Source organism: Homo sapiens, chromosome 1 (genome assembly GCF_000001405.40).
Source record: "Homo sapiens chromosome 1, GRCh38.p14 Primary Assembly".
NCBI lineage: Eukaryota > Metazoa > Chordata > Mammalia > Primates > Hominidae > Homo > Homo sapiens.
In genome coordinates, this window is record NC_000001.11 from 33208687 (window position 1) to 33234109 (window position 25423).

The 25423-nt window shown below is 43.2% G+C and overlaps 1 protein-coding gene across 1 annotated transcript in view, besides 4 other annotated features; it reads left to right on the forward strand.

The window, feature by feature from the left end:
* ZNF362 (zinc finger protein 362) overlaps nucleotides 1-25423 on the forward strand; it is a 173198-nt gene that overhangs the window by 81165 nt on the left and 66610 nt on the right. The window lies entirely within an intron of this gene.
* Nucleotides 2451-2620: an enhancer, noted in NCBI's record as "experimental_7061 CRE fragment used in MPRA reporter constructs". NCBI's record gives its function as "activates a minimal promoter by MPRAs in K562 erythroleukemia cells, with activity observed for the introgressed 1:33676823 variant allele {active_cell/tissue: K562}" and the evidence as "EXISTENCE:reporter gene assay evidence [ECO:0000049][PMID:34662402]".
* Nucleotides 3395-3454: a silencer, noted in NCBI's record as "silent region_620". NCBI's record gives its function as "represses an Ori minimal core promoter by ATAC-STARR-seq in GM12878 lymphoblastoid cells {active_cell/tissue: GM12878}" and the evidence as "EXISTENCE:reporter gene assay evidence [ECO:0000049][PMID:35858748]".
* Nucleotides 10722-11322: an enhancer, noted in NCBI's record as "H3K4me1 hESC enhancer chr1:33685009-33685609 (GRCh37/hg19 assembly coordinates)". NCBI's record gives its function as "activates a minimal SCP1, AML or CMV promoter by ChIP-STARR-seq in primed H9 embryonic stem cells {active_cell/tissue: H9 hESC(primed)}" and the evidence as "EXISTENCE:reporter gene assay evidence [ECO:0000049][PMID:30033119]".
* Nucleotides 11457-12241: an enhancer, noted in NCBI's record as "H3K4me1 hESC enhancer chr1:33685744-33686528 (GRCh37/hg19 assembly coordinates)". NCBI's record gives its function as "activates a minimal SCP1, AML or CMV promoter by ChIP-STARR-seq in naive H9 embryonic stem cells {active_cell/tissue: H9 hESC(naive)}" and the evidence as "EXISTENCE:reporter gene assay evidence [ECO:0000049][PMID:30033119]".

A 25423-nucleotide genomic window follows, 5' to 3' on the forward strand; every position in this document is an offset into this window, starting at 1 on the left:
TAGTAATTGTGAATAGGAGTTCACTCATGATTTGGCTCTCTGTTATTGGTATATAGGAATGCTTGTGATTTTTGCACATTGATTTTGTATCCTGAGACTTTGCTGAATTTGCTTATCAGCTTAAGGAGATTTTGGGCTGAGATGATGGGGTTTTCTAAATATACAATCATGTCATCTGGAAACAGAGACAATTTGATTTCCTTTTTTCCTAATTGAATATCCTTTATTTCTTTCTCCTGCCTGATTGCCCTGGCCAGAACTTCCAATACTATGTTGAATAGGAGTGGTGAGAGAGGGCATCCTTGTCTTGTCCCAGTTTTCAAAGGGAATGCTTCCAGTTTTTGCCCATTCAGTATATTGGCTGTGGGTTTGTCATAAATAGCTCTTATTATTTTGAGATATGTTCCATCAATACCTAGTTTATTGAGAATTTTTAGCATGAAAGGCTGTTGAATTTTGTCAAAGGCCTTTTCTGCATCTATTGAGATAATCATGTGGTTTTTGTCGTTGGTTCTGTTTATGTGATGGATTACACTTATTGATTTGTGTATGTTGAACCAGACTTGCATCCCAGGGATGAAGCTGACTTGATCGTGGTGGATAAGCTTTTAGATGTGCTGCTGGATTCGGTTTGCCAGTATTTTATTAAGGATTTTTGCATTGATGTTCATCAGGGATATTGGCCTAAAATTCTCTTTTTTTGTTGTTGTGTCTCTGCCAGGCTTTGGTATCAGGATGATGCTGGCCTCATAAAATGAGTTAGGGAGGATTCTCTCTTTTTCTATTGATTGGAATAATTTCAGAAGGAATGATACCAGCTCTTCTTTGTACCTCTGGTAGAATTCGGCTGTGACTCCGTCTGGTCCTGGACTTTTTTTGGTTGGTAAGCTATTAATTATTGCCTCAATTTCAGAGCCTGTTATTGGTCTATTTGGAGATTCAACTTCTTCCTGGTTTAGTCTTGAGAGGGTGTATGTGTCCAGGAATTTATCCATTTCTTCTAGGTTTTCTAGTTTATTTGCATAGAGGTGTTTATAATATTCCCTGATGGTAGTTTGTATTTCTGTGGGATCGGTGGTGATATCCCCTTTATCATTTTTTATTGCATCTATTTGATTCTTCTCTCTTTTCTTCTTTATTAGTCTTGCTAGTGGTCTATGAATTTTGTTGATCTTTTCAAAAAACCAGCTCCTGGATTCATTGATTTTTTTTTGAAGGGTTTGTTTTGTCTCTATTTCCTTCAGTTCTGCTCTGATCTTAGTTATTTGTTGCCTTCTGCTAGCTTTTGAATTTGTTTGCTCTTCCTTCTCTAGTTGTTTTAATTGTGATGTTAGGGTGTCAATTTTAGATCTTTCCTGCTTTCTCTTGTGGGTATTTAGTGCTATAAAGTTCCCTCTACACACTGCTTTAAATGTGCCCCAGAGATTCTGGTATGTTGTGTCTTTGTTCTTATTGGTTTCAAAGAACATCTTTATTTCTGCCTTCATTTCATTATTTACCCAGTAGTCATTCAGGAGCAGATTGTTCAGTTTCCATGTAGTTGTGCAGTTTTGAGTGTTTCTTAATCCTGAGTTCCAATTTGATTGTACTGTGGTCTGAGAGACAGTTTGTTGTAATTTCTGTTCTTTTACATTTGCTGAGGAGTGTTTTACTTCCAATTATGAGGTCAATTTTAGAATAAGTGCAATGTGGTGCTGAGAAGAATGTATATTCTGTTGATTTGGGGTGAAGAATTCTGTAGATGTCTATTAGGTCTGCTTGGTCCAGAGATGAGTTCAAGTCCTGGATATCCTTGTTAATTTTCTGTCTCATTGATCTGTCTAATATTGACAGTGGGGTATTAAAGTCTCCCATTATTATTGCCTGGGAGTCTAAGTCTCTTTGTGGGTCTCTAAGAACTTGCTTTATGAATCGTGATGCTCCTGTATTGGGTGCATATATATTTAGGATAGTTAGCTCTTCTTGGTGAATTGATCCCTTTACCACTATGTAATGGCCTTCTTCATCTCTTTTGATCTTTGTTGGTTTAAAGTCTGTTTTATCAGAGACCCAGGATTGCAACCCCTACTTTTTTTTCTTTCCACTTGCTTGGTAGACCTTCCTCCATCCCTTTATTTTGAGCCTATGTGTGTCTTTGCATGTGAGATGTGTCTCCTGAATACAGCACACCGATGGGTCTTAACCCGTTATCCAATTTGCCAGTCTGTGTCTTTTAATTGGGACATTTAGCTCATTTACATTTAAGGTTAATTTTTTTTTTTTTTTGAGACAGAGACTCACTCTGTCACCCAGGCTGGAGTGCAGTGGCACAATCCTGGCTCACTGCAAGCTCTGCCTCCTAGGTTCACACCATTCTCCTGCCTCAGCCTCCCGAGTAGCTGGGACTACAGGTGCCCACCACCACGCCTGGCTAATTTTTTGTATTTTTAGTAGAGATGGGGTTTCACCATGTTAGCCAGGTTGGTCTCAATCTCCTGACCTTGTGATCTGCCCTCGCTAGCCTCCCAAAGTGTTGGGATTACAGATGTGAGCCACCGCGCCAGGCCTACATTTAAGGTTAATATTGTTATGTGTGAATTTGATCCTGCCATTATGATGCTAGCTGGTTATTTCACTGTTTAATTGATGCAGTTTCTTCATAGCGTTGATGGTCTCTACAATTTGGCATGTTTTTGCAGTGGCTGGTACCGTTTGTTCATGTCCATGTTTAGTGCTTCCTTCAGGAGCTCTTGTAAGGCAGGCCTGGTGGTGACAAAATCTCTCAGCATTTGGTTGACTGTAAGGGATTTTATTTCTCCTTCATTTATGAAGCTTATTTTGGCTGGATATGAAATTCTGGGTTGAAAATTCTTTTCTTTAAGAATGTTGAATATTGACCCCCACTCTCTTCTGGTTTGCAGGGTTTCTGCAGAGAGATCTGCTAGTCTGATGGGCTTCCCTTTGTGGGTAACCCGCCCTTTCTCTCTGGCTGCCCTTAGCATTTTTTCCTTCATTTCAACCTTGGTGAATCTGACATTTATGTGTCTCGGGGTTGCTCTTCTCAAGGAGTAATCTTTGTGGTGTTCTCTGCATTTCTTGAATTTGAATGTTGGCCTGCCTTGCTAGGTTGGGGATGTTCTCCTGGATAGTATCCTGAAGAATGTTTTCTAACTTGGTTCCATTCTCCCCATCACTTTCAGGTACACCAATCCAAAGGAGATTTGGTCTTGATAATTCTTATATTGCTGGTGGGAATATCAAATGTACATCTGAGATGGTTTTCATCTGTGTCCCCACCCAAATCTCACATTCAATTGTAATCCCTGGTGTTGGAGGTGGGATCTGGTGGGAAGTGATTGGATCACAGGGACTGTTTCTCATGGTTAACATCATCTCCCTTGGAGCTGTCATTACGATAGTGAATTCTCATGAGATCTGGTTGTTAAAAAGTGTGTAGCACCGCCGCCTTCTCTCTGTTCCTCCTGCTTCAACCATGTAAGACATGCCTGCTTCCCCTTCACCTTCCACTATGAGTCAAAGCTCCCTGAGGCCTCCCCAGAAGCAGATGCAGCCAAGCTTCCTATACAGCTTGCAGTACTGTGAGCCACTTAAACCTCTTTTCTTTATAAATTATCCAGTCCCAGGTATTTCTTCATAGCAGTGTGAGAATGACTAGTATGATAGCCATTTTGGAAAACAGTTTGGCAGTTTCTCAATAATTTACCTAGGTATCTCTAACGTATATTGAGCCATTCCACTTCTAGGTACCTATATTAGGCTATTGGTGTGTTGCTGTAAAGAAGTACCCAAGACTGGATAGTTTATAAAGAAAAGTGGTTTAATTGAGTCACAGTACTGCAGGCTGTACAGGAAGCATGGCGCTAGGCATCTGCTTGGCTTCTGGTGAGGCCTCAGGAAACTTACAATCATGGCAGAAGACAAAGGGGAAGCTGGCCTATCACATGGCAAGAGCAGGAGTAAGACAGAGAGGTGGTGGGGTGCAGTGGGGAGGTGCCACACACTTTTAAACAACCAGATCTTGTGTGAACTCATTCATCACCAAGGGAATGGCACTAAGCCATTCATGAGGGATACTCCCCCATGATCCAAACATCTCTGACCTTCAGGCCTCACCTCCAACACTGGGAATTACATTTTAACATGAGATTTGGAGAAGACAGCCGAACTATATGAGAAATGAAAGCGTACGTGCATGCAAAGATTTGTACACAAATGTTTATTGCTGCCTTATTTATAATAGTCACAATTTATTTAGAAGTAACCCTAATGTCCCAAATCCATGGATGAATGAATAAACTAAATGTGGCACATCCATACAATGGAAATGCTCCTTGGCAATAAAAAGGATAAATTTTATATGTGCAATAGCATGGCTGAATCTCAAAATAATTGTGCTGAGTGAAAGAAGATGGACAAAAAGAGTATGTATGTATTATACTATTCATATAAATTTTTAGAATTTTGTTTTGTTTTGTTTTAGATGGAGTCTCACTCTGTTGCCCAGGCTGGAGTGCAGTGGTGCGATCTTGGCTCCTGACCTCAGGTGACCCACCCACCTCAGCCTCCTAAAGTGCTGAGATTACAGGCATGAGCCACTACGCCCAGCCTGAAGTTCATTTTCTTAATCACGGCGATGATTTCACAGATGCATACATATATACATAACAACCTCTCAAAATTGTTCACTTTAAGTATGGGCAGTTTATTGTTTGTCAATTGTATTTCAATAAATCAGTTAGAAAAAATCCCAGAAGAAGGGTGGGAAGCAGTAAAGTGAACAAAGAAGCTGGTAAATGTGTTGGTGAATTTAAATAAGTATTGATTACTATAGTAATAATAATAATAATTACTATTTTGGGGGTTTTAAAACAAGATTGAGGCCAGGCGTGTTGGCTCACGCCTGTAATCCAAGCACTTTGGGAGGCCGAGGCGGGTGGATCACGATGTCAAGAGATCGAGACCATCCTGGCCAACATGGTGAAACCCCATCTCTACTAAAAATATAAAAATTAACTGGGCGTGGTGGCATGTGCCTGTAGTCCCAGCTACTTGGGAGGCTGAGGCAGGAGAATCGCTTGAACCCGGGAGGCAAAGGTTGCAGTGAACTGAGATCACGCCACTGCACTCCAGCCTGGCAACAGACAGAAACTCTGTCTCAAAAAAACCAAAGCAAACCAAAACAAAACAAAACAAAAAAAACAAAACAACAACAACAACAAAAAACAAGATTGAACGAAAACACCTGATTTTGTATTGGTTTGGAAAAGTCTAGGGATTTTACTGAGTTCTAGATTTTAAGAGTGCATGATGTATACTTAACTTCATGCTAGTTCAGGGAAAAAAAGAATAGAATTAAAAAGAAATCAATCCAATTAAAAATGTGAAATAAGAAAAAAGAAGCAAATAAAAAGCATGTAAATTGAAAGACACAAAATAAGATAGAAGCTGAAGCCATGGGAAAACATACAGGAATAGCTGAATGCACACCCCTAAAAATTCCTATGGGACATCTACAGTGAACTCATTTTTCACAAAGGTGCTAAGAACATTCACTGGGGAAAGGAAAGTCTCTTCAATATTTGGAGCTAGGAAAACAGGATCTCCATATGCAGAAGAATGAAAGTAGACCCCTATCTCTTGCCATATACAATAATCAAGTAAGAATGGATTAAAGACTTAAATCTAAGACCCCAACTGTGAAACTACTAAAAGGAAACATTGGGAAAACTCTCTAGGACATTGGTCTGGGCAAAGATTTCTCAAATAATACCTCAAAGGCACAGACAACCAAAGCAAAAACGGACAAATGAGATCACATCCAGCTAAAAATCTTCTGCACAGCAAAGGAAACAATCAGCAAAGTAAAGAGACAACTCACACAATGAAAGGCAATATTTGCAAACTACCCATCTGAAAGGGATTAACAACCAGAATATATAAGGAGCTCAGACAACTTGATCAGAAAAAATGAAGTAATTGGATTAAAAAGTGGGCAAAAGATCCAAATAGATATTTCTCCAAAGAAGACCTACAAATGATTGATAGGTGTTTGAAAAAAATGCTCAACATTATTAATCATCAGAGAAATGCAAATGAAAACTACAATGAGATATCATCTCACCCCAGTTAAAATGGCTTTCACTCAAAAGACAGGCAATAACAAATACTGGTGAGGATATGGTGAAAGGGGAACCCTCGTACACTGTTGGGAGTGTAAATTAGTATAGTCACTATGGAGAGTAGTTTGAAGGTTCCTCAAAAAAACTAAAGATAGAACTACCATATGATCTAGCAATTCCACTAGTAGGTATACATCCAAATAAAGGAAAGTAGTGTATTGATTAGATATCTGCGCTCCCATGTTTATTGCAGCACTGTGCACAATAGCCAAGATTTGGAATCAATCTAAGTGTCCCCAAATAGATGAATAAATAAAGAAAATGTTGTACATGTACACAGTGGAATATTATTCATCCATAAAAATAATTAAATTCTGTCATTTGCAACAACATGGATGGAACTGGAAGACATTATGTAAGTGAAATAAGCCAGGCACAGAAAGACAAATTTCTCATGTTCTCACTTATATGTGGGAGCTAAAAATTAAAACAATTGAACTCATGAAGATAGAGAGTAGAATGATGGTCACCAAAGGCTGAGAAGGAAGCTTGGGGTAGGGTGGGGTAGGGGAGAATGGTTAATGGGCACAAAAATATACTTATATAGAATGAATAATATCCTAGTATTTTAGTATTTGATAGCACAACAGAGTGACTATGGTCAACAGTAATTTATTGTATATTTAAAAATAACTAAAAGAGTGATATTGGAATGTTCCTAACACAAAGAAATGATAAATGCTCGAGGCAATGGATACCCTGATTACCCTGATGTGATTATTACACATTGAGTGCCTGGATCAGTACATTGCCCTATGTACTCCATGAATATGGAGTATCCATAGTCACTAACATTTTTTAAAAATTTAAAAATCAATATAAAAATTCTGTACCCTGGTAGTGTTGCAAAAATGAAGTTCACAGTCACATTCAGAGTGATATTTTCTACAAATCCTCAAATAAATTTTGAAATTGAGCACACATATATAGGAATATGCTGATGCTTGTAATGTTTTCTTAATGTCACGAATTTTTTGAAAAAGGTTTTCTGCCATAAACCAGGGGCCTATATATGCTTATTATGTATAACAAACATGGTTTGAAGCAATGTTTCTCATGATTATAAAAGTAAATACAGTCAAGGTGTTGCCAACTAAACCTTGGGCTAATAATTTTATCTTATTATATGTCAGTATCTCCAACCTGTGATATATTTATAAAAACAAACGTTTCCATAATACTTTAACTCTAAGACCAGTGCTGTACTTATACTGAAAGTGAAATGTAAGACCTCCTATATTCTTCTCCTCTGAAAAAGTTTAGAGAGTTTTTCCATCCCTTGCATTCTAAAGTAAAAGGGGTGGGAGAGGAGGGGAAAATGAGACAGTTTAATTAAATGCAGTTGACTCTTCATTTGACCAGCATCTCTTGTCTGCTCACTGTATGCTAAGCACAGGGCTAGCCACAGACGGTACAAAGATGAATAAAGTATGCTCTTAAGAAACAGAAAAAAGGGCCGGGCGCGATGGCTTATACCTGTAATCCCAGCATTTTGGGAGGCTGAAGCGGGCAGATCATGAGGTCAGGAGTTCGAGACCAGACTGACCAACATGGTGAAACCCCATCTCTACTAAAAATACAAAAATTAGCCAGGCGTGGTGGCAGGCGCCTGTAATCCCAGCTACTCAGGAGGCTGAGACAGGAGAATCCCTTGAACCCAGGAGGCAGAGGTTGCAGTGAGCCGAGATTGTGCCATTGCACTCCAGCGTGGGCCACAGAGCAAGACTCTGTCTCAAAAAAAAAAAAAAAAAAAAGAAACAGGAAAAAAAAAATTCCTCTGGGAGTCAAAGAAGGCTTCCTGGAGGAAAGAACATTTATTTAGGATGATTTTAAAGAAGGATCAAAAGCTTCGCACTTATAGAAGGCAGGAATATAATAATAAATAGAAAGAGTTGCATGAGCCAAGGTACAGGAAGGTAAAAAGACTTGGTAGAGTCAGCACATAGGATGGGCCCCCTGTGCAGGTGGCTGGAGGGGCTGGGCAAGGGCTGCAAATGGAGGGTGGGTTCACATCACTGAAGGCCTTGAATAAGGGCGGTGGGGAACCACAGAGAGCTTTTCCAAGCAGAGGCGACGCGTGGGAGTAGAGTTTTCAGGGAATCCCCCTAGGGTGGTGTAGAGAATGAATTGCTGAGGCGGTTCTGGAGGCAGGAAGACTGGGGATGGAGAGAGGCCACCATCCATCCCTTACAACCCAGCTTCCAGCTCAGCATCAGGAACAGGCACGTGGCACAAAGATGTTCCCAGGGAGCAATGACTTCCTGGCTCAGTGCTAAGGAGGCTAAATTGGAGATAATTGTACTCCCAGCAAATCAGTAACAGCACCATCTCAGTGGAAACCTGCTGCCTAACCTGATCTAACTTCTGACCTTCAGATCCACCTTATGAAGTGAGAGCAGTGAGGAAGGAGCCCTGGCCTAGGGTCTGAAGGCCTGGGTTTTGGTGCCCAATTCAGCACTAGCTCACTGTGTAACCTTGGCCAATTCCCTTGCCCAATCTGAGCCATGTAATCTGTCACTCCTGCCTCACACAGAGGGTGTTAGACCAGCAGGCGTTTTCCTCTCTGACCATCTAGGACTCATTCCAGGCAACTTTACACTGGGTCAGATGCAGCTCCAGATCTCTGCACCCCACCTTAATATCCCAACCACCAGCTTGCTGTCCTAGCAGGGCCACCCCCATCCTACCACTGGGCTCCCCCACCTGGGGAAGCAAGATCTTCTGACTGTTCTCTTTCTTCAGAATGAAAACAACTTTATTGTTTTCATTATTAAAATAATATAGACTCATTAAAAAGAAATTTAAACCATAAGAGAAGTATACAGGAGAAAGTAAAATTTAAGTGAAATCTTATTATACAAAGGTAGCCACCATTAAGATTTTGGTAACAGTCTTCCAAGATAACTCCTTATGTTCACACACACACACAAACACACACCCACAACTTTATGTAAACTGGATCATAGTATTTTAACTATGGTGCAATCTCAGTTTTTCACTCCATAATATGTCATGGATATCTATGTAAAAAATATATTTATCTTATTACTGTCAAAGTTTTACTTTGATTACATACTCACATACAAATATACAATTTACATAAATGTATAAACGTGATCAGCATGAACATGAGCAGAATCCAGTTACGTCTTTATTTTTAGTGGCTCCCTATTTTTCTCTATAGTCCATAGATGGACCATAAACACTGTAGCAGCAAACACCTTTAAACATATATTCTTTTGCATTTTTAGGATAAATTTCTAGATGCAGAACAGTTAGGTAGAAAAATGTAGGGGCTGGGCATGGCAGCTTATGCCTATAATCCAGCACTTTGGAAGGCCAAGGTGGGAGGATCACTCGAGTTCAGGAGTTCAAGATCAGCCTGGGCAACATAGGGAGATACTGCCTCTACAAAAAATTTAAAAATTAGCTGGGCATGGTGGTGTATGCCTATGGTCCACGCTACTTGAGAAACTGAGGCAGGAGGATGACTTGAGCCCTGGAGGTCGAGGCTGCAGTGCCCTGTGATTACACACACCACTGCACTCCAGCCTGGACCCTGTCTCAAAAAAAAATGTGAATATTAAAATTTTTGATATTGCCCTCCAAAAAGCTAGTACCAATCTCACTGCTACTGACAATACATGAATGCCTGTTTCTCAGCACTCTTTCTAAAAGAAGGCATTGTCAATTTGTAATCTAACAGGTGAACTTGTCATTATTGTTTTTATTATCATTTATTTGGTTATTAGTGAAATTGATCATCTGCTTATTGGCTATTTGGATGTTTTCTTTTGTGAAATGGCCTGTTTATGTCCTTTGTCTATTTTTTTCTGTTGGATTAAATTTGTTTGTTTCTTATTGCTTTTTAAGAACTCTTTGTATATTAGGGATTTAACCTTAACCCATCTGGTTTCTCAGGGTCCGTGGAGTTGGGCAATGTAGTCCCCTGTGAAGTCAGATTCCCAAGAGATTGGAACAGTTCTGCCTCTGGTCAGTGGAGGGCAGCAGTGGCAGCAACATTCACTTTCAGGCTGGACGCACAGGTCTGCCCAGGAGCTGGACATACACACACACACACACACACACACACACACACACACACACACACACACATACACCACCCCCTGCCCCCCCGCAAGAGACTTCCTTCCTTTCTCAGGAAGCCACTTGATTCACTGACCCTTAAGGGCCCCAAACACAAATTATTTCCCCTTAGTCTCTAGAGATAACCTCTAAACATTGAAGAGAATCAGGCTCTGAAGTTAGACTGGAGTTCAAAATCCAACTCTGTCATCTCCTGGCTGGGGGCTGGGTGTGACATTCATGACCTCTGTACCCTCAATTTCCCCATCTGTGAAATGGGTCCAGTGGTACCCACCTTCACTGGGTATGATGACGGTAAAGTGTACGGTTGGCGCTCAGTGAGTGTGAGCCCACAGTGGGCCTGCCCAGCCCACTTCCCAACCTCTGCCCGCCATTCATTCATCGGCGGACCAGAGACAAGTTGGCTCCTGCTGTCTCAAGCCTGCCCACATGTTTGATTAATTCTGTGTCTAAGAAAGATTCACTGGGTAGTATGGAGGGAGATTGCAGGGCAGGAGCCCAGCGAGGAAGGGGAGGACTCGTGAAGACCTAACCAGGTAGCATGGGCAGCAGGGCCCAACAGGAAGATATGGTGTTCCCAGGCAGAAAAGGCCAGCACATGGCCGTGGGTGAGATGTGCTGGCCAGGAGAGGGGTGAGACGGGGCATGCCCAGGTTTCCTATCTGAGGGACTGTGTGGACAGCCAAGGAGTAGGGGCAGTTTTGACATGGGGTAAGTTCTGCTTGAATTCTGCTGAGTTTGAGGTGCTGGAGGGACTTCCAGGATGCTTTCAGCAGTGGCAAATCACAGCTCTAGCCTGACCTCTCCCCATCTCTCACACCTGAAAAACCTGGGTCTATCCCTGCCCAGGGATCAGAGCTGCTCTAGACTAATTCAAGCCAAGGGAGGAAATTGTTTCTGTCCTTACTTCCTTTCCCGTCTTCCTCCTTGCTACCCCAACTCCCCCTAGATACCCTTTTCCAGCTCAGGGCCCCCTACTCCTCCCTTATACTGGGAACAAGGCATGGCCGAAGAGGCCCCTGGCTCAGAAGGGGAAACTGGAAAAATGGGTTTCTGATGGGCATGACTATGGCCTGGGGGTGGATGAATCATCAGAGCCAGCAGAGGGAGAGCGCAGTGGAGCAGAAGGTGAGTGCTGGGCCCAGGCCCCGGAGGCTGTGGGCTTTGTAGGGAAGGAAAGGTGGGCAGGGAAGGGGTTGTAAGGTCACAGGACTCTGCAGTGGGGGGTTTGGGGGCCTGTCCTGAGTTTCCCTCAATCTCCAATCTGGTGCCATGGCTAAGGCAGGATTATAGACTTCTATTCCATTGTTTTTATTAATAATGATAGCAATAACAGCTGTTTGTAGATTGCTTACCATATGCTGGGCCTCCTGCTAAACTCTTTACAAGCATTACATCCTCTAACCCTCAGTTACCTTGTGATTGATCTCCACTTTAAGATGTGGACGCAGAAGCTCAGAGAGGTTAAGCCACTTGTCCTAGGCCACACTGAGGAGTCAGGGAGTCAGGGCAGAGCCATCTGTTTGTCCCCAGTTCCTTCAAACCCACCCCCCTACAGTCATGTTGGACTATGTCATGCACCCACCAGAAGGTGCCTCTGTGGGTGTGGAGGCGCCATCTGTGGCTGATTTGTCCTGAGGGCAGGCCTCAGGAGTCTGTCTGGCTTGCAGCATCGCAGGCCTGGGTTCTACCACTGCCCAGCCAGGCCTGACTATGACTTGGGTGAGTTCCTTTTGCTCTCTGGTCCTCAGTTTCCCCATCTGTCCAACAGTGTTTTCCAACATGGGGTCCCAGGAACCCAGAGTCTTTGGAGCTATAATCTGGGTGAAGCAACCCAGCGGGTGTGGGTACATTCAGCCACCGTTAGGTCACCCTATAGCCATGGTTCTCCTAATGCCACGAATTCTGGGCAAGTTCTTTGAATTTGTGGGTTTCGTAGGGAGGAAAGGAATGAAACTGGTTGATGCTCTGTGGGGAATGTGGAAGGGTGTGGCCCATCAGATTGACAGGGCAAGGGTCAGCAGAAAGAGGGTGGCAGGGCTCCTTGGGGTTCCTTAAAGTTGTGCTGTTCTGTGAAGAAGAGACAGGGCCATGTGTGTATGTGAAGGGTGGTGCTGGGGGGCGGGGTGCCGACCATCAGCCCGAGGCGTGGAGGGCAAGACCCGGTGTTTCTCTCCTAACCCTGGGATTGGCAGTGGGTGGTGGGTGTGGCTTCTGGAATCCTATCAATCCCTCCGGAATGTAAGAGGCTTAAGCAAACCCCAGCCGCAGGCAGAGGAGTGAGGTACGGGCCAGGACCTGTCCTGACTGTGGGTGGGGATCCTGGGAAGGGCCCCCATCAGGCAGGCTTGGGCTGAAGCCAGGTTTGGGGTGGGCCTGCCCAAGGAAACTGCACAGTGAGTTTCAGGCACCCCTGTCCCAAACTGGCTTTTCCTCCCTGCTGCCAGGAACCAGTCCAGCCTCACTCCTCCACACCCACATCACCAAGATTATACCCACAGGGTTGCTGCCGTCTTTGTATATCCATAGTTTTCAAAACATAGAGTGCCCAAACTATACCAGGCATTTCTCATCAAGATCTTATTTAATCCTCACAGCTTGCGCAAGTATATATTTGTAATCACTAGTTTTTACATAAGGAAAATAAGTCTCAGAGAGGTTAAGTGAGCTGTCCAAGGTCAAGCAACTACTAAATGTCAGAGCCAGGTACTGGCTCATTCCAAAGACAATTCATTTTTCATTTCACTAAGCTGGTGTTTCAGAGGGAGTAAGAACTGGTCCTTAACTTTAAGGTGTGTCTGATCTGTTCCTAGAGGGTTAAACAGATGGATAATCTCACCCAGCATGAACGATGGGGCAGTAGGATGCAGTGGATGGGCAGTAGGATGCAGTGGATAGGCTGTGGGAAGGCTGCCTTTCTTCCTACTGTAGACAGTTTCCTCCATGGGTGGAGGATTAAATCATCCCAGCAAAGAAGGTAGAGAGAAAAAGGAGAAGCAGGTGGAGGAGGAAGAGGGCGACAAGGAGACAGAAAGAAAGAGTGAGGTAGTATGTGTGTTCTGAGGACAGTTACGGTGCCCAGTATAGGTTCATGAGCTGTCCATGAGCCTGTATTTCCCAAGAGTACTAGCCAACAATTTCTCATGTTTGCTTAAGCCAGTTTGACACTTGCAACCAAAAGCCATCAAATTAATGCTGTTTGTATACCATGGAAATGGCATCAGAATGGAATGCTTGACCTTTATCTCCAAAACTATACCTTCCCCATACTTCCCCATCTCCATCCATCCAATTGCTCAAGTCCTTTTGGCCCCCCACCAACCCTATTTCTAACCTAGAAACAAGCCCTGTACATCCTACCTCCAAAATATATCTCAGATCCATCTATTTCTCTTCATTTGCAGTGCACCCTAGTCCAGGCTGCCAGCATCTCTCATCTACATTACTGCAAATAGTCATATCACTGATCTCCTTGCTTCAAGTTTTGCTTCCCATGAATATTTCTCCACATTCGCCAGAGTGATCTTTTAAAAACATGAATCACATCATGCCACTGCTTGTGTAAAATTTTCCAGTAATTTCCTACTGTGCCTGAAATCCACACTCTTTGCCAGGACTTCTAATAGCTAGCTGTTATCTACCTTGTAGTGTCATCCTGCCTTCTTTCTATTGCACAAAGCTACCAAGCTCATTTCAGCCTCAGGGCACTTGCATTTGCTGCTTAATCTGTCTGGAAGAACCTACATCTTCACATGGCTGTTTCCTTCTCATCATTCAGTTTGGCAGTCAAGTGTTACCTCTCATAGAGGCCTTCTTTGAGTACCCTAGTGATGTGGTTTGGCTGTGTCCCCACCCAAATCTCATCTTGAATTCCCATGTGTTGTGAGAGGGACCTGGTGGGAGGTAATTGAATCATGGGGGCAGGTCTTTTCTGTGCTGTTCTCTTGAGAGTGAATAAGTCTCATGAGATCTGATGGTTTTAAAAACAGGAGTTTCCCAGCTGGGCACGGTGGCTCATGTCTGTAATCCCAGCACTTTGGGAGGCTGAGGTGGGTGGATCACGAGGTCAGGAGATCAAGACCATCCTGGACAACATGGTGAAACCCCGTCTCTACTAAAAATACAAAAATTAGCTGGGTGTTGTGGCGTGTGCCTGTAGTCCCAGCTACTCAGGAGGCTGAGGCAGGAGAATCACTTGAACCCAGGAAGCAGAGCTTGCAGTGAGCCGAGATTGAGCCACTGCACTCCAGCCTGGTGATAGAGCAAGATTCTGTCTCAAAAAAACAAAAACCAAAAAACAAAAAAACACAGGAGTTTCCCTGCACAAGCTCTCTTCTCTTGTCTGCTGCCCTGTGAGATGTGCCTTTTACCTTCTGCCATGATTGTGAGGCCTCCCCACCCACGTGGAACTGTAAGTCCAATAAACCTCTTTCTTTTGTAGATTGCCCAGTCTCAGGTATGTCTTTATCAGCGGCATGAAAATGGATTAATACACTTAGCTAAAGCTGCATATATTTCTCTCTCCCATCCCAAATTACTCTCTGTTCTATTACCATTTACCTCCTTCATAGCACTTTTCAGAGTTTGTAATTTTGGGTGAATCAGAAGTAGATTAGCCATCATAAAGACTGAAGACCAGGCTGGCCATGGTGGCTCACGCCTGTAATCCCAGCACTTTGGGAGGCTGAGGCGGGTGAATCACCTGCGGTCAGGAGTTCAAGATCAGCCTGGGCAACATGGTGAAACCCTGTCTCTACTAAAAATACAAAAATTAGCTGGACATCGTGGCATGCATCTGTAGTTCCAGCTACTTGGGAGGCTGAGGTGGGAGAATCGCTTGAACCAGGGAGGTGGAGGCTGCAGTGAGCCAAGATCACGTCACTACACTCCAGCCTGGGCAAAAAGAGTGAAACTCCATCTCAAAAAAAAAAAAAAAAAGAAAAAAGAGACTGAAGACCAGCTTTGGATCAGCTTAGTCCCTGACTGCATTAAGGTGATCTGTCTCTACTACCTGTCACAAATAAAAGTGTATCTTCTCTTGAGAAAAAGAACATGATCCAGAGTTTCAAATTATCTCTACATTTTTCATACACAATGTTAAAATTTAATCAAAATTTACTGAACATGCAAAGAGACATGAATTTACCAAAACATCAAGAGAAAAAAAATCATAGAAAGAGACCCATAGGAGTCCAGATATTGGCACTGACTTTAAAGTAACAGTGATAAATAAATTAAATGTAAAGATGGGAAATTTCAACAGAGAACTGGAAACTATAGAAATTATCAAAAATGAACTCTAGAACTAAAAAGTGTAGCAGTTGAAATAAAAAACTCAATAGATGGGTTTGGCAACAGATCAGACACAACTGAAGAGAGAATTAGTGAACTGGAAATAGATCAAATTTCCAGACCTAAGTAAGGAGAGTGTAAAGGATGCAAAAATACAAATAACATTGTGTCTCTTACATTGCTATCTATATGAGATACATAATTTAAATGTATCCACTGTGTTTCATGTGTTTCTTACATAATTGGAAGGGATCTATAATTGCAAGAGATCTATAAGAGATAACAATGTAAGAGACATGTGAAACACAGTGGACATGTCTAAATTATGTATAATTTGAAGAGACCTATAATTGCAAGAGATCTATAAGAGATAACGATGAAAGAGACACATGAAACACATGGACATGTCTAAATTATGTATAATTGGAATCTCGAAGTGAAAGGAAAGAGAAAATAGGGCAGATGCAATATTTGAAGAGATGATGGTTGAGAATTTCCAAAACTGAAGAAAGATATCAAGTCATAAGATGCATTAAGAATTATGAACTCTATACAGAATGAATACGAAGAAAACCATATTCAGGCACACAGTAGTCAAACTTCTGAAAGCCAAAGACAAAGAGAAAAATCTTAAAAGAGGCCAGAGAGAAAAAGATATATATTCAAAGAATCTACAATAGGACTGACAGTGGACTTCTCCACAGAAACCACAAGAGCCAGAAGACAACAACTACTGCCCATCTAGATTTCCATATCCATTACAACTATGAACTGATCTTCTGCTCTTCCCTTCACTCATTTAATTCTAGACGTACTGGCTTTGTTATTCCTTTTACATCCCAGACACATTCACACTATAGACTCTTCACACTGGCTGTTTCCTCTACTTGATTATTCTTCTCTCTCAGACATTTATATAACTTTTGCCCTCATCATCTTTAAGTCCTTTCTCAAATGTCACCATTCCAATGAGGCCTACCTTAGCCACCCCTTTGAAATGGTAACACACTTATTCCACCTGGTACTCCTCATCCTTCTTCCTGAAATTATTTTTCTTTATGCATTATTACCTTCTGACATATTATATATTTTACTTACTTATACTTTTTGTGTTGTTGCTCTCCTTTTACCTAAATGTAAGCTGATTCATGTAACTGATTTATTTAAAAAATATATATGTATTTAAAATAACTACAGCTCTTTTAATCAGAAGGGTCATTCAGGGTATTTGGTATGCCATGATGCCAGAAGCATGAGTTCCCATCGTTGCTTGTTTACCCTTGTATTGATTTCTCCCTGTGTCTTTTATTGTAAGGTAAGACTAATCCTCTCTGAAAGTAGATGGGGTAGATAGACAGACAGACAGATACTGAGATGTGTTTAAGTATGGATGTTTTCCGTTGCAAGTTATAGGAAACCCAACTATAAGTGACTTAAAGAATAAAGACATTTATTACCTCACATAAGTCATCCAGAGGCAAGACTTCTCCAGGGTTAGCTCAATGCTGACATCAACTTGTTGTCAATCTTCAGATTTTATCTCACTCAGCAAGCTGATTACTATGCAGTTTCACAAGCAGACATGAAGATGTCTTGCTAAAAAGGGATGGTTTTTTCTTTTGCATGATTTTTAGGTCTAAGACACCCATTTACTGCAGTGTTCCCCAGCAGACCCCCTCTGTCTCATTGACCAGTAATGCATCATTAGGTCATTCCAAAACCATAAATAGGCAAAGACAATGGATTATTGTGATTGGTTTAGACTGATTATGATTTGTCTACTGTGGTGGGAGGGTGGGTGTCAAGCCCCCAGGAGGCACATACCTGACCAAAATCAGGGTTCTTTTACCAAGAAAGGGAGTGCTGTTGGGATGGCAACATGTAGATCTCTTACAAAGCTTTTCAGTTTATGATTTAAAAAATTACTTCACAGCCTTGAGCTCATTAATCCTCACCTGTCCAGGAATATTTTGTTGTCCCATTTTGCAGATGAGCTCAGAAATATTGAATGATTTTTCTGAAGGGCATAGAGCTAAGACATGTCAAAATCTTGTCTGGGGTCCACCAGCCTTGGAGCTCCTGCCCATGAGTCAGTGATGGTTTTTAAAAATTGGCCACAAAACTTTCACATGAATATTCATAGCAGCATTATTCATAATAGCCTAAAAATGGAAACAATTCAAATCTCCATAAGCTGATGAATGGATAAACAAAATGTGGTGTATTCATATAATGAAACATCATTTGGCCATAAAAAGTAACGAGGTGCTGATTCCTGCTACAATATGGATGGACCTTGAAAACGTTATGCTAAATGAGGCCGGGCGCCATGGCTCACGCCTGTAATCCCAGCATTTTGAGAGGCTGAGGTGGGTGGATCACCTGAGGTCAGGAGTTCAAGACCAGCCTGGCCAACATGGTGAAATCCCATCGCTACTAAAAATACAAATATTAGCTGGGCATGGTGGCGCATGCCTGTGATCCCAGCTACTTGGGAGGCTGTGGCATGAGAATCGCTTGAACCCGGGAGGCAGAGGTTGCAGTGAGCCTGGTTTGTGCCACTGCACTCCAGCCTGGGCCATAGACTGAGACTCTGTCTCAAAAACAAAAAGCAAAACAAAACAAGACACCCATTATGCTAAGTGAAATAAGCCAATCACAAAAACCACATACTATATGGTTTCATTTATATGAAATGTCCAGAAATGGCAAATCCCTGAAGATATAAAGTAGATTACTGGTTGCCAGGGGCTGAGGGAAGGGATGAGAATACTGGGGACAGTGATAACTATAGGGTACAAGGTTTCTTTTTTGGGGTGATAAGAATGTTCTAAAATTGGTTGTGGTGATGGATTGCACAATTCTGTAAATATACTAAAATTCATTGAACTATATACTTTAAATGAGTGAATCGTATGGTACGTGAATTATATCTCAATAAAACTGTTACTAAGAAAATTGGCTACAAATCCTTTGAAGCTCCTCCTATTAAGAAGTGGGGTCGATGCCCCATCCCCTGGAATTGAGTGGGCTTGTGTCAGCTTTGACCAATAGAGTATGGTGGAAGTGACCCTCTGTGACTTCTGAGGCTAGGCCTTTGGGCATCTTCTACCTGGCTCTCTCTAGACACTGACTCTTTAGATGTTCCTGCTCAGAACGCAACTGCCATGCTATAAGAAGCCCAAGCCATATATAAGCCATGAAGGAGACATTCCCAGCTAAGCCCAGCCTTCAGCCATCCAAGGCCAGGAGCCAGACGTGTGAGTGAAGGAACCCCCAGATGACTCCAGTCCCCAGCCACTGGAGCCTTCTCAGTTAACGCCTTAGACATCAAGAGGTAGAGATAAACCATTCCTACAGTGCTCTGTCCAAATTCCTGACTGCCAAATCCATGAGCCTAATAAAAATGTTGCTTTGTTCTGCCAAGCTGGGGGTATTTGCTATGCAGCAACAGATTGTAGAGGCCACCAGACCTACTCCTGGCTCTACCATTCCTGTTTCTATCCCATTGGATCCCTTTCCAGTCTCTCAAGAGTCCCTCATTCAGGTGCCCTAGAGAAGCCAGATGGTGCTCAGAAATGGAGAGGGAAGGGATCTTTTTTTTTTCCCACTCAGTTATTTACTGAGCGTGTTTCCTCAGAAAAGGTTGAAATTTACCTGTGAGTTCAAATTCCTGTTAATCCCTAGAACACCTGCATTGACACCTGTTTGCCCTGACTCGGAATTGTGAAAAGGGCTCAGGTTTATGGAGATTTGCATTTCTTTTACATAAATTTGTTGGGACCTCAGTTGCCCCCTGGCTCTGGCTTTTGCCCAGCCCTCTCTTCTGAGCTCATGACCTCTACATCCGACTAGAGCCAGGTTACTCCCTTCCCCTCTGTAATGTCCTCCAGGACCCCAAATCTGTGTGTCCACAAGTAGGCACATCATCTTCCCCTCCACACCTGCTCCTGCTCCTGTGCCCTCCATCTCTGAAGAAGGAAAATTATCCTTCCAGTTGCCCAAGCCTGAAACCCAGGAGTCATCCTTCCCTTGCTATGCTCACTCCTAGACCTTCCTATCTGGTACTCAGGCTTTCAATATCATCTATACTTTGAGGCCTCCTAAATTTTTGTCCCCAGTCCTGACTTTTCCTCTGAACTTCTTTCCAGTCCATCCACTTGTCTAGCTGACCTCTCCACACAGACATCTAAAAGGTATCTCAAACTCAACATATCCAACACCAAACTCTGGTTTGCCTTCCACAAATCTGGTTCTCAGGCAGTCTTTCCCTTCTTAGGAAATGTTTACTGCATTCTTCCAGTTGCATGGGCCACAAATTTGGGACTCACCCTTGACTCCTCTTCTGCACCACAATCCAAGAAGTCAGGAAATGCCGTCAGCTCTATTCAAAGATTCAGAATCCAATCACTCCTCAGTGTGACTCTGCCACTCTGGAAGCCATCACCATCTCTCCAAGATTATTGCAAAGACCTCCTAACAGACCTCCCTGCTTCCAACTTTGCCTTGTCTATTTCCCACACAGCAGCCTCAGTGATCATTTTAAAATGAAGGTCAAGCCTATCATTCCTCTACTGGAAACCTCCGCCACTTCCCACATGCCTCAGAATAAGAGTCTAAGTCCTGGCAATGGCTAACAAACTTCATCTCCTACTGCTTGTTCGGTCCCTCCCTCTCTGCAGCCACCCCAGCCTTCCTTGCTCTTCCCTGAAGATGCTCTTGCTGCAAAGCCTTTGTGATTGCCGTTTCCTCTGCAAGGGGTGGTTTTCCTCGAGGTATCTGTAGGGCTTGTTCTCACATTTCCTTCCGCCTCTGTTCAAATGTTTCTAAGGGTCAGGAAGGTTGGGGGTGGGGGTGGGGTTCCCTGACTACTCTCCACCCCACCCAGGACTCTCTAGCCCCTCTCTTTCCTTTTCTCCACAACCCTTAACATCTGACCCCACACGCACTGACATCTTTTCTCAGTTTTAAATGGAAGCTCCATGAGCTCTGGGATTTATCTGTCTTATGCAACCCTGGCTCCTGGAACAGTGCCTAGAATTCTAGAAAGAGCTTATTAGCCATCTGTGGAATGAATGAGTGGATCCCAGGCAGCTCCTTCACTTATGTCCAATCAGTCAAAAAGTCATTTCTATTCTGCCTTTTTTTTTTTTTTTTTGTGAGACGGAGTCTTGCTCTGTTGCCCAGGCTGGAGTGTAGTGGCATGATCTCAGCTCACTGTAACCTCCACCTCCCGGGTTCAAGTGATCCTCCTGCCTCAGCCTCCTGAGTAGCTGGGATTACAGGTGCCCACCACCACACCGGCTAGCTTTTTGTATTTTTAGTGTAGATGGAGTTTCACCATGTTGGCCAGACTGGTCTCGAACTCCTGACCTGGTGATCTGCCTGTCTTGGCCTCTCAAAGCACTGGGATTACAGGCGTGAACCACCACTCCCGGCCCTATTCTGCCTTCTTAAAATCACCTGCATCCACACTGTCCTCCCCTTAGCCCCCAGTCAACAGCTGGTTCAAACTCCACCTTCTTCCCCTTTAGCGATTACAATTGTCTAGTAACCCGCGTCCCTCCCTCTGCTCTCTGTCCATCTAGGCTTTTGCCACATACATTTAAAAATTATTATTTTTAACCAATATAAAAGTAATACATGTTGCTAATGGAAAACTTTGAAGACACAGATAGATGAAAAAAGGTGGGATCCCTACCCACATGCATACCATTTAGAGATAAGCACTATTTACATTTTGAAGCATTCTTCTATGCAAAAGCTGGATTTTTTTGTTTGTTTTTTAACATATAGCTGTGCTTCTACTGACTCTTCAGATTAATGCCCTATTTTGAAAAAAACCTATAACCATAGCAGCTGATGTTTATGTTTACTGTGTAACTTAAGCATGTTATTTAACATTCCAATGTCTCAGTTTCCTCACTTGTAAACTGGGAATGGTGTTAATACCCACCTCATTGGTGGGTGGTGAGGATTAAATCTGGAAAGTAAACCTGAAAAGTTCTCAATGAGTATTAGATATTATTGTTGTTACTGAGTGCTTATGCTGTACAGGAACCATTCCAAATACATCCGCGCACCAACTCATGGAATCCTCATACCCACCCTATGAAGCAGGTGTAGTAATAACATGATAACCTAAAGAGGCTACAGTCGTTTTACCAAGGAAAGGAAAAGCAAAACCAGTCATGGCTCTCTCCAGCTTGTAAGAGTCTGATGCTCCCACCATCTGTAGGATACATAATACTAATAACAATAGCTGATGTTCACCGAATACTTCACATGTGTCGGGCCCAGTGCTAAGTGTTCGCACGTGCAGACATTCCTCCCACAGTGCCAGTTTTCATAACCTGATCTGTGCATACCTTGATGGATCAATTAGGGAACACGATTTGCATCCTGCGGCTTGTGATTGGTTATACAGCAGCGCAAGCTGGAAGCAGCCTGGAAGCTGCGGCTGGGCTGCCGTGAGGTTGCTGCCTGGGTTTTGCTTTGTTTATCCAAACAATGGCTGCTTCTCAAGGTGTGTTACTGATGGTGCTGGTGGTGCTAGAAATAGGAAGGCCAGCACTCTGAAAGAAAATATAGATGTAATCGAAGCTCAGAGATGCTCAGGGATATAAAACTTTCATAACCATACACATATTGCTAGGGCAAACACTGTTATTATTAAGGTATCAACAAGAAGAATGACTTTGCAGTTGCTAGACTGAAAATCTCTAACCCAACCACATTTTCACATTCGTTTTTATGATTAATTTCAAAAGAACCACCACAACAATAATAATAAACTTCACTAACGCTTATTGAACTTACTGTGTGATGGCTTTGTGCTAAGAGATTTGCATAATGATCTATTTAATTTTCACGCAATGCTCTTTGTTATTGGCTCCATTTTACAGATAGGGAAACCAAGGCATAGAGAGATGAGACGATTGCTCAGTGTCAAACAGTTAGAAGGAAGCGGAGCTGGGCCTCACACACGTATAGTCTAGCTTGAGCCAGAGCCACAACCATTGTGCTATTCTACTGGTTTGTTGATTGCATGAGGTTTCTTAGAACTGCAGTTATTGCATGATGGCCACATCATCTCATTTGTTTTTTCTACTAATCCTAAGAGACATTTTCTCGTGCTTTAGCTATTTCCCAATGAAGACCAAGGCACGGAGACGTCAAACAAATTATCATTGCAAAGTTGCACAGCCAGTAAGTGACTGACCCTGGGCTCCAAAAGATACCTGTGGAATCCACAGTCCCCGATCTCCCTGCTGGGGTCAAGTCCCCTGATATTTCCTCCCATAGCACCACTTACCTGTCAGTCCACAACTGACGCAGTTGTCATTTTACACATGCCTGTGTAGTTATTTTGTTGTCTCCCCAACTAGAGAGTGAGGTCAGTAAGGGCAGGGTCCATGCTGGGTTTTGATTATCATTGTGTCCCCACTACAAAATAAATGTCCAATTAATATTTGTGGACTGAATGAGCGAATGATGGATTCCTCTGGAGGCACTGAGCTGGACCAAGGGGGTACAAGGGACACACCCCAGCTCCCTCAGCCCTACTAAGGCAGCTTCTAAGGCTCAGGATGTTTTCTCATCCTGTCCTGACATCAAGGGCTATAGAAGGTTGCTGGAGCCTAAGCCCATCAGTAGGTGGGAACTGAAATTACTGTTATTGGCCAGAGCCTGGACTTGGTTCTTGGAGTCACAGATGATGTTGATGACCTATGTAAATCCATCCCTCCTTCTTCCTGGCTGGAAAGGCCTGTTTTGCTTGGGTCCTTTTCCCTTGAGGCCAAGCACTCAGAGGACAGGGCACTCCTCAGTATTGGGGCATGAGTCACGATTGGTCTAAGCCAATCATGATTATATTCCCCTTGCCAGATATTGGTTTGGCAAAAGGCATGCAAGCCAATACTGGTCAATGGGACCTAAGGGGAAGTCTGATGAAGAGGTCTACAGAAAAGATTTTCTTCCTTTAAAGATGCGTAAGTGGAAATGTATTTTTTTTTTCTGAGACAGGGTCTCACTCTGTTGCCCAGGCTGGAGTGCAGTGGTGTGATCTCAGCTCACTGCAACCTCCACCTCCTGGGTTCAAGCGATTCTCCTGCCTCAGCCACCCAAGTAACTACAGGCTCACGCCACCATGCCAGGCTAATTTTTTTTTGTATTTTTTAGCAGAGACGGGGCTTCACCATGTGGGCAAGGCTGGTCTCAAACTCCTGACAAGTAATCTGCCTGCCTCAGCCTCCCAAAGTGCTGGGATTACAGGCGTGAGCCACCGCGCCCGGCCAGAAATGCATTTTTCACTGGACATTGTCATGTCTGCGGATGGTGGCTGGCACTGCTGCATTCATCTAGTTAGCATGAGGCAAGGCATTGACAATATGGGAAGGAAGCTGACACCGCTTGAAGACATCATTAAGCCACCGAATTTCCAAACCCCAGAACTTATACTCTTGTTATTATGTGAGAAAATGACCTCCTTATGGCTTAAGCCGTATTTAGTTGGGGTTTCTGTTCCTTGCTTGAAGCCTCCTGATGGGCACACGGCACCACTCCTGTGACACTTGTCTGCTTCTTCAACTGCCTCTCTGTGTTCTTCATTTCAGTGGTGCAGAGGTGGAGGCTGGAAACTAACATTTGTAAGGTTCTTACTACAAATGCATCATCTCATTTCTTCCACTGAATAACTACAGGTATGCAAAATAGTTTCTCTTAGTCCCAATTTACTAAGAAGAAAACTGAAATGCAGTGAGGTTATGTGGCTTGTCCAGGGTCACGCACTGAGACTCAGTTGCCCATAGGATAAAAATCAAACTTCTTAATGTGGCATTCAGTACTCTTCAGGCTCTCTGCTCCTTTCCATCCTCCTCAGCTTCAGATGTCCCCATTCTGTACTCCCATTCTCACTCTAAGCCCTGGGCAGACCAAAATCCTTTAGTTCCCCTGATTGCTCCTTCTGCCTAAGATAGTCTATTTACTTTCTGCCTGACCAACTACAGTTCATTCTTTAGGCATTGATTGCATTGTCACATGCTCTCAGAGGCCTTTCCTGGCCACCCATTCTGGCTTTAGCCTGCCTTTTCTCTGCATGCCTGCAATGCCCTGCTTTTCCCTCACCCATCCCTTCTCACACTTTTTTTTTTTTTTTGAAACAGAGTCTCGCTCTGTCGCCCAGGCTGGAGTGTAGTGGTGCAATCTCGGCTCACTGAAACCTCCGCCTCCCAGGCTCAAGCAATCTTCCTGCCTCAGCCTCCTGAGTAGCTAGGATTACAGGTCCATGCCACCACGCCCAGCTAATTTTTGTATTTTTCGTAGAGACGGGGTTTCACCATGTTGGCCAGGCTGGTCTTGAACTCCTGACCTGAAATGATCAGCCTGCCTCGGCCTCCCAAAGTGTTGGAATTACAGGCATGAGCCACCGAGCCTGGCCCCTTTTTACACTTTCTTATAGTTACCTGGAGTCATGTCTGTCTTCCCCTGAGACTTTGTGCCTCTGGAGCCTGGCAGGGTAGTGCAGTGCCGTGGTCCAGAGAGTGAACTCTGGCACACAAGAGTTTGACTTCCAGCTCCATCACTTCCTAAATATGGAACTGGGATGCCTCCTCTCAACTCTGTGTGCCTCACTTTCACTCTTAAGATGGGGATATTTAATAGTTTCCACCTTACATGACTGTTGCAGGAATTAAATGAGTTTCTGCATGTAAACACTTAGGATGAATGGGGCCTGACACATAGGAAGTACTCAATAAATCTCATCTATTTTTATGATTATTCCTGTACTTGAAGCACTTGCTGTCTGCCAGACATTCACCAAGTGTTTGTTGAAAGAATGAATG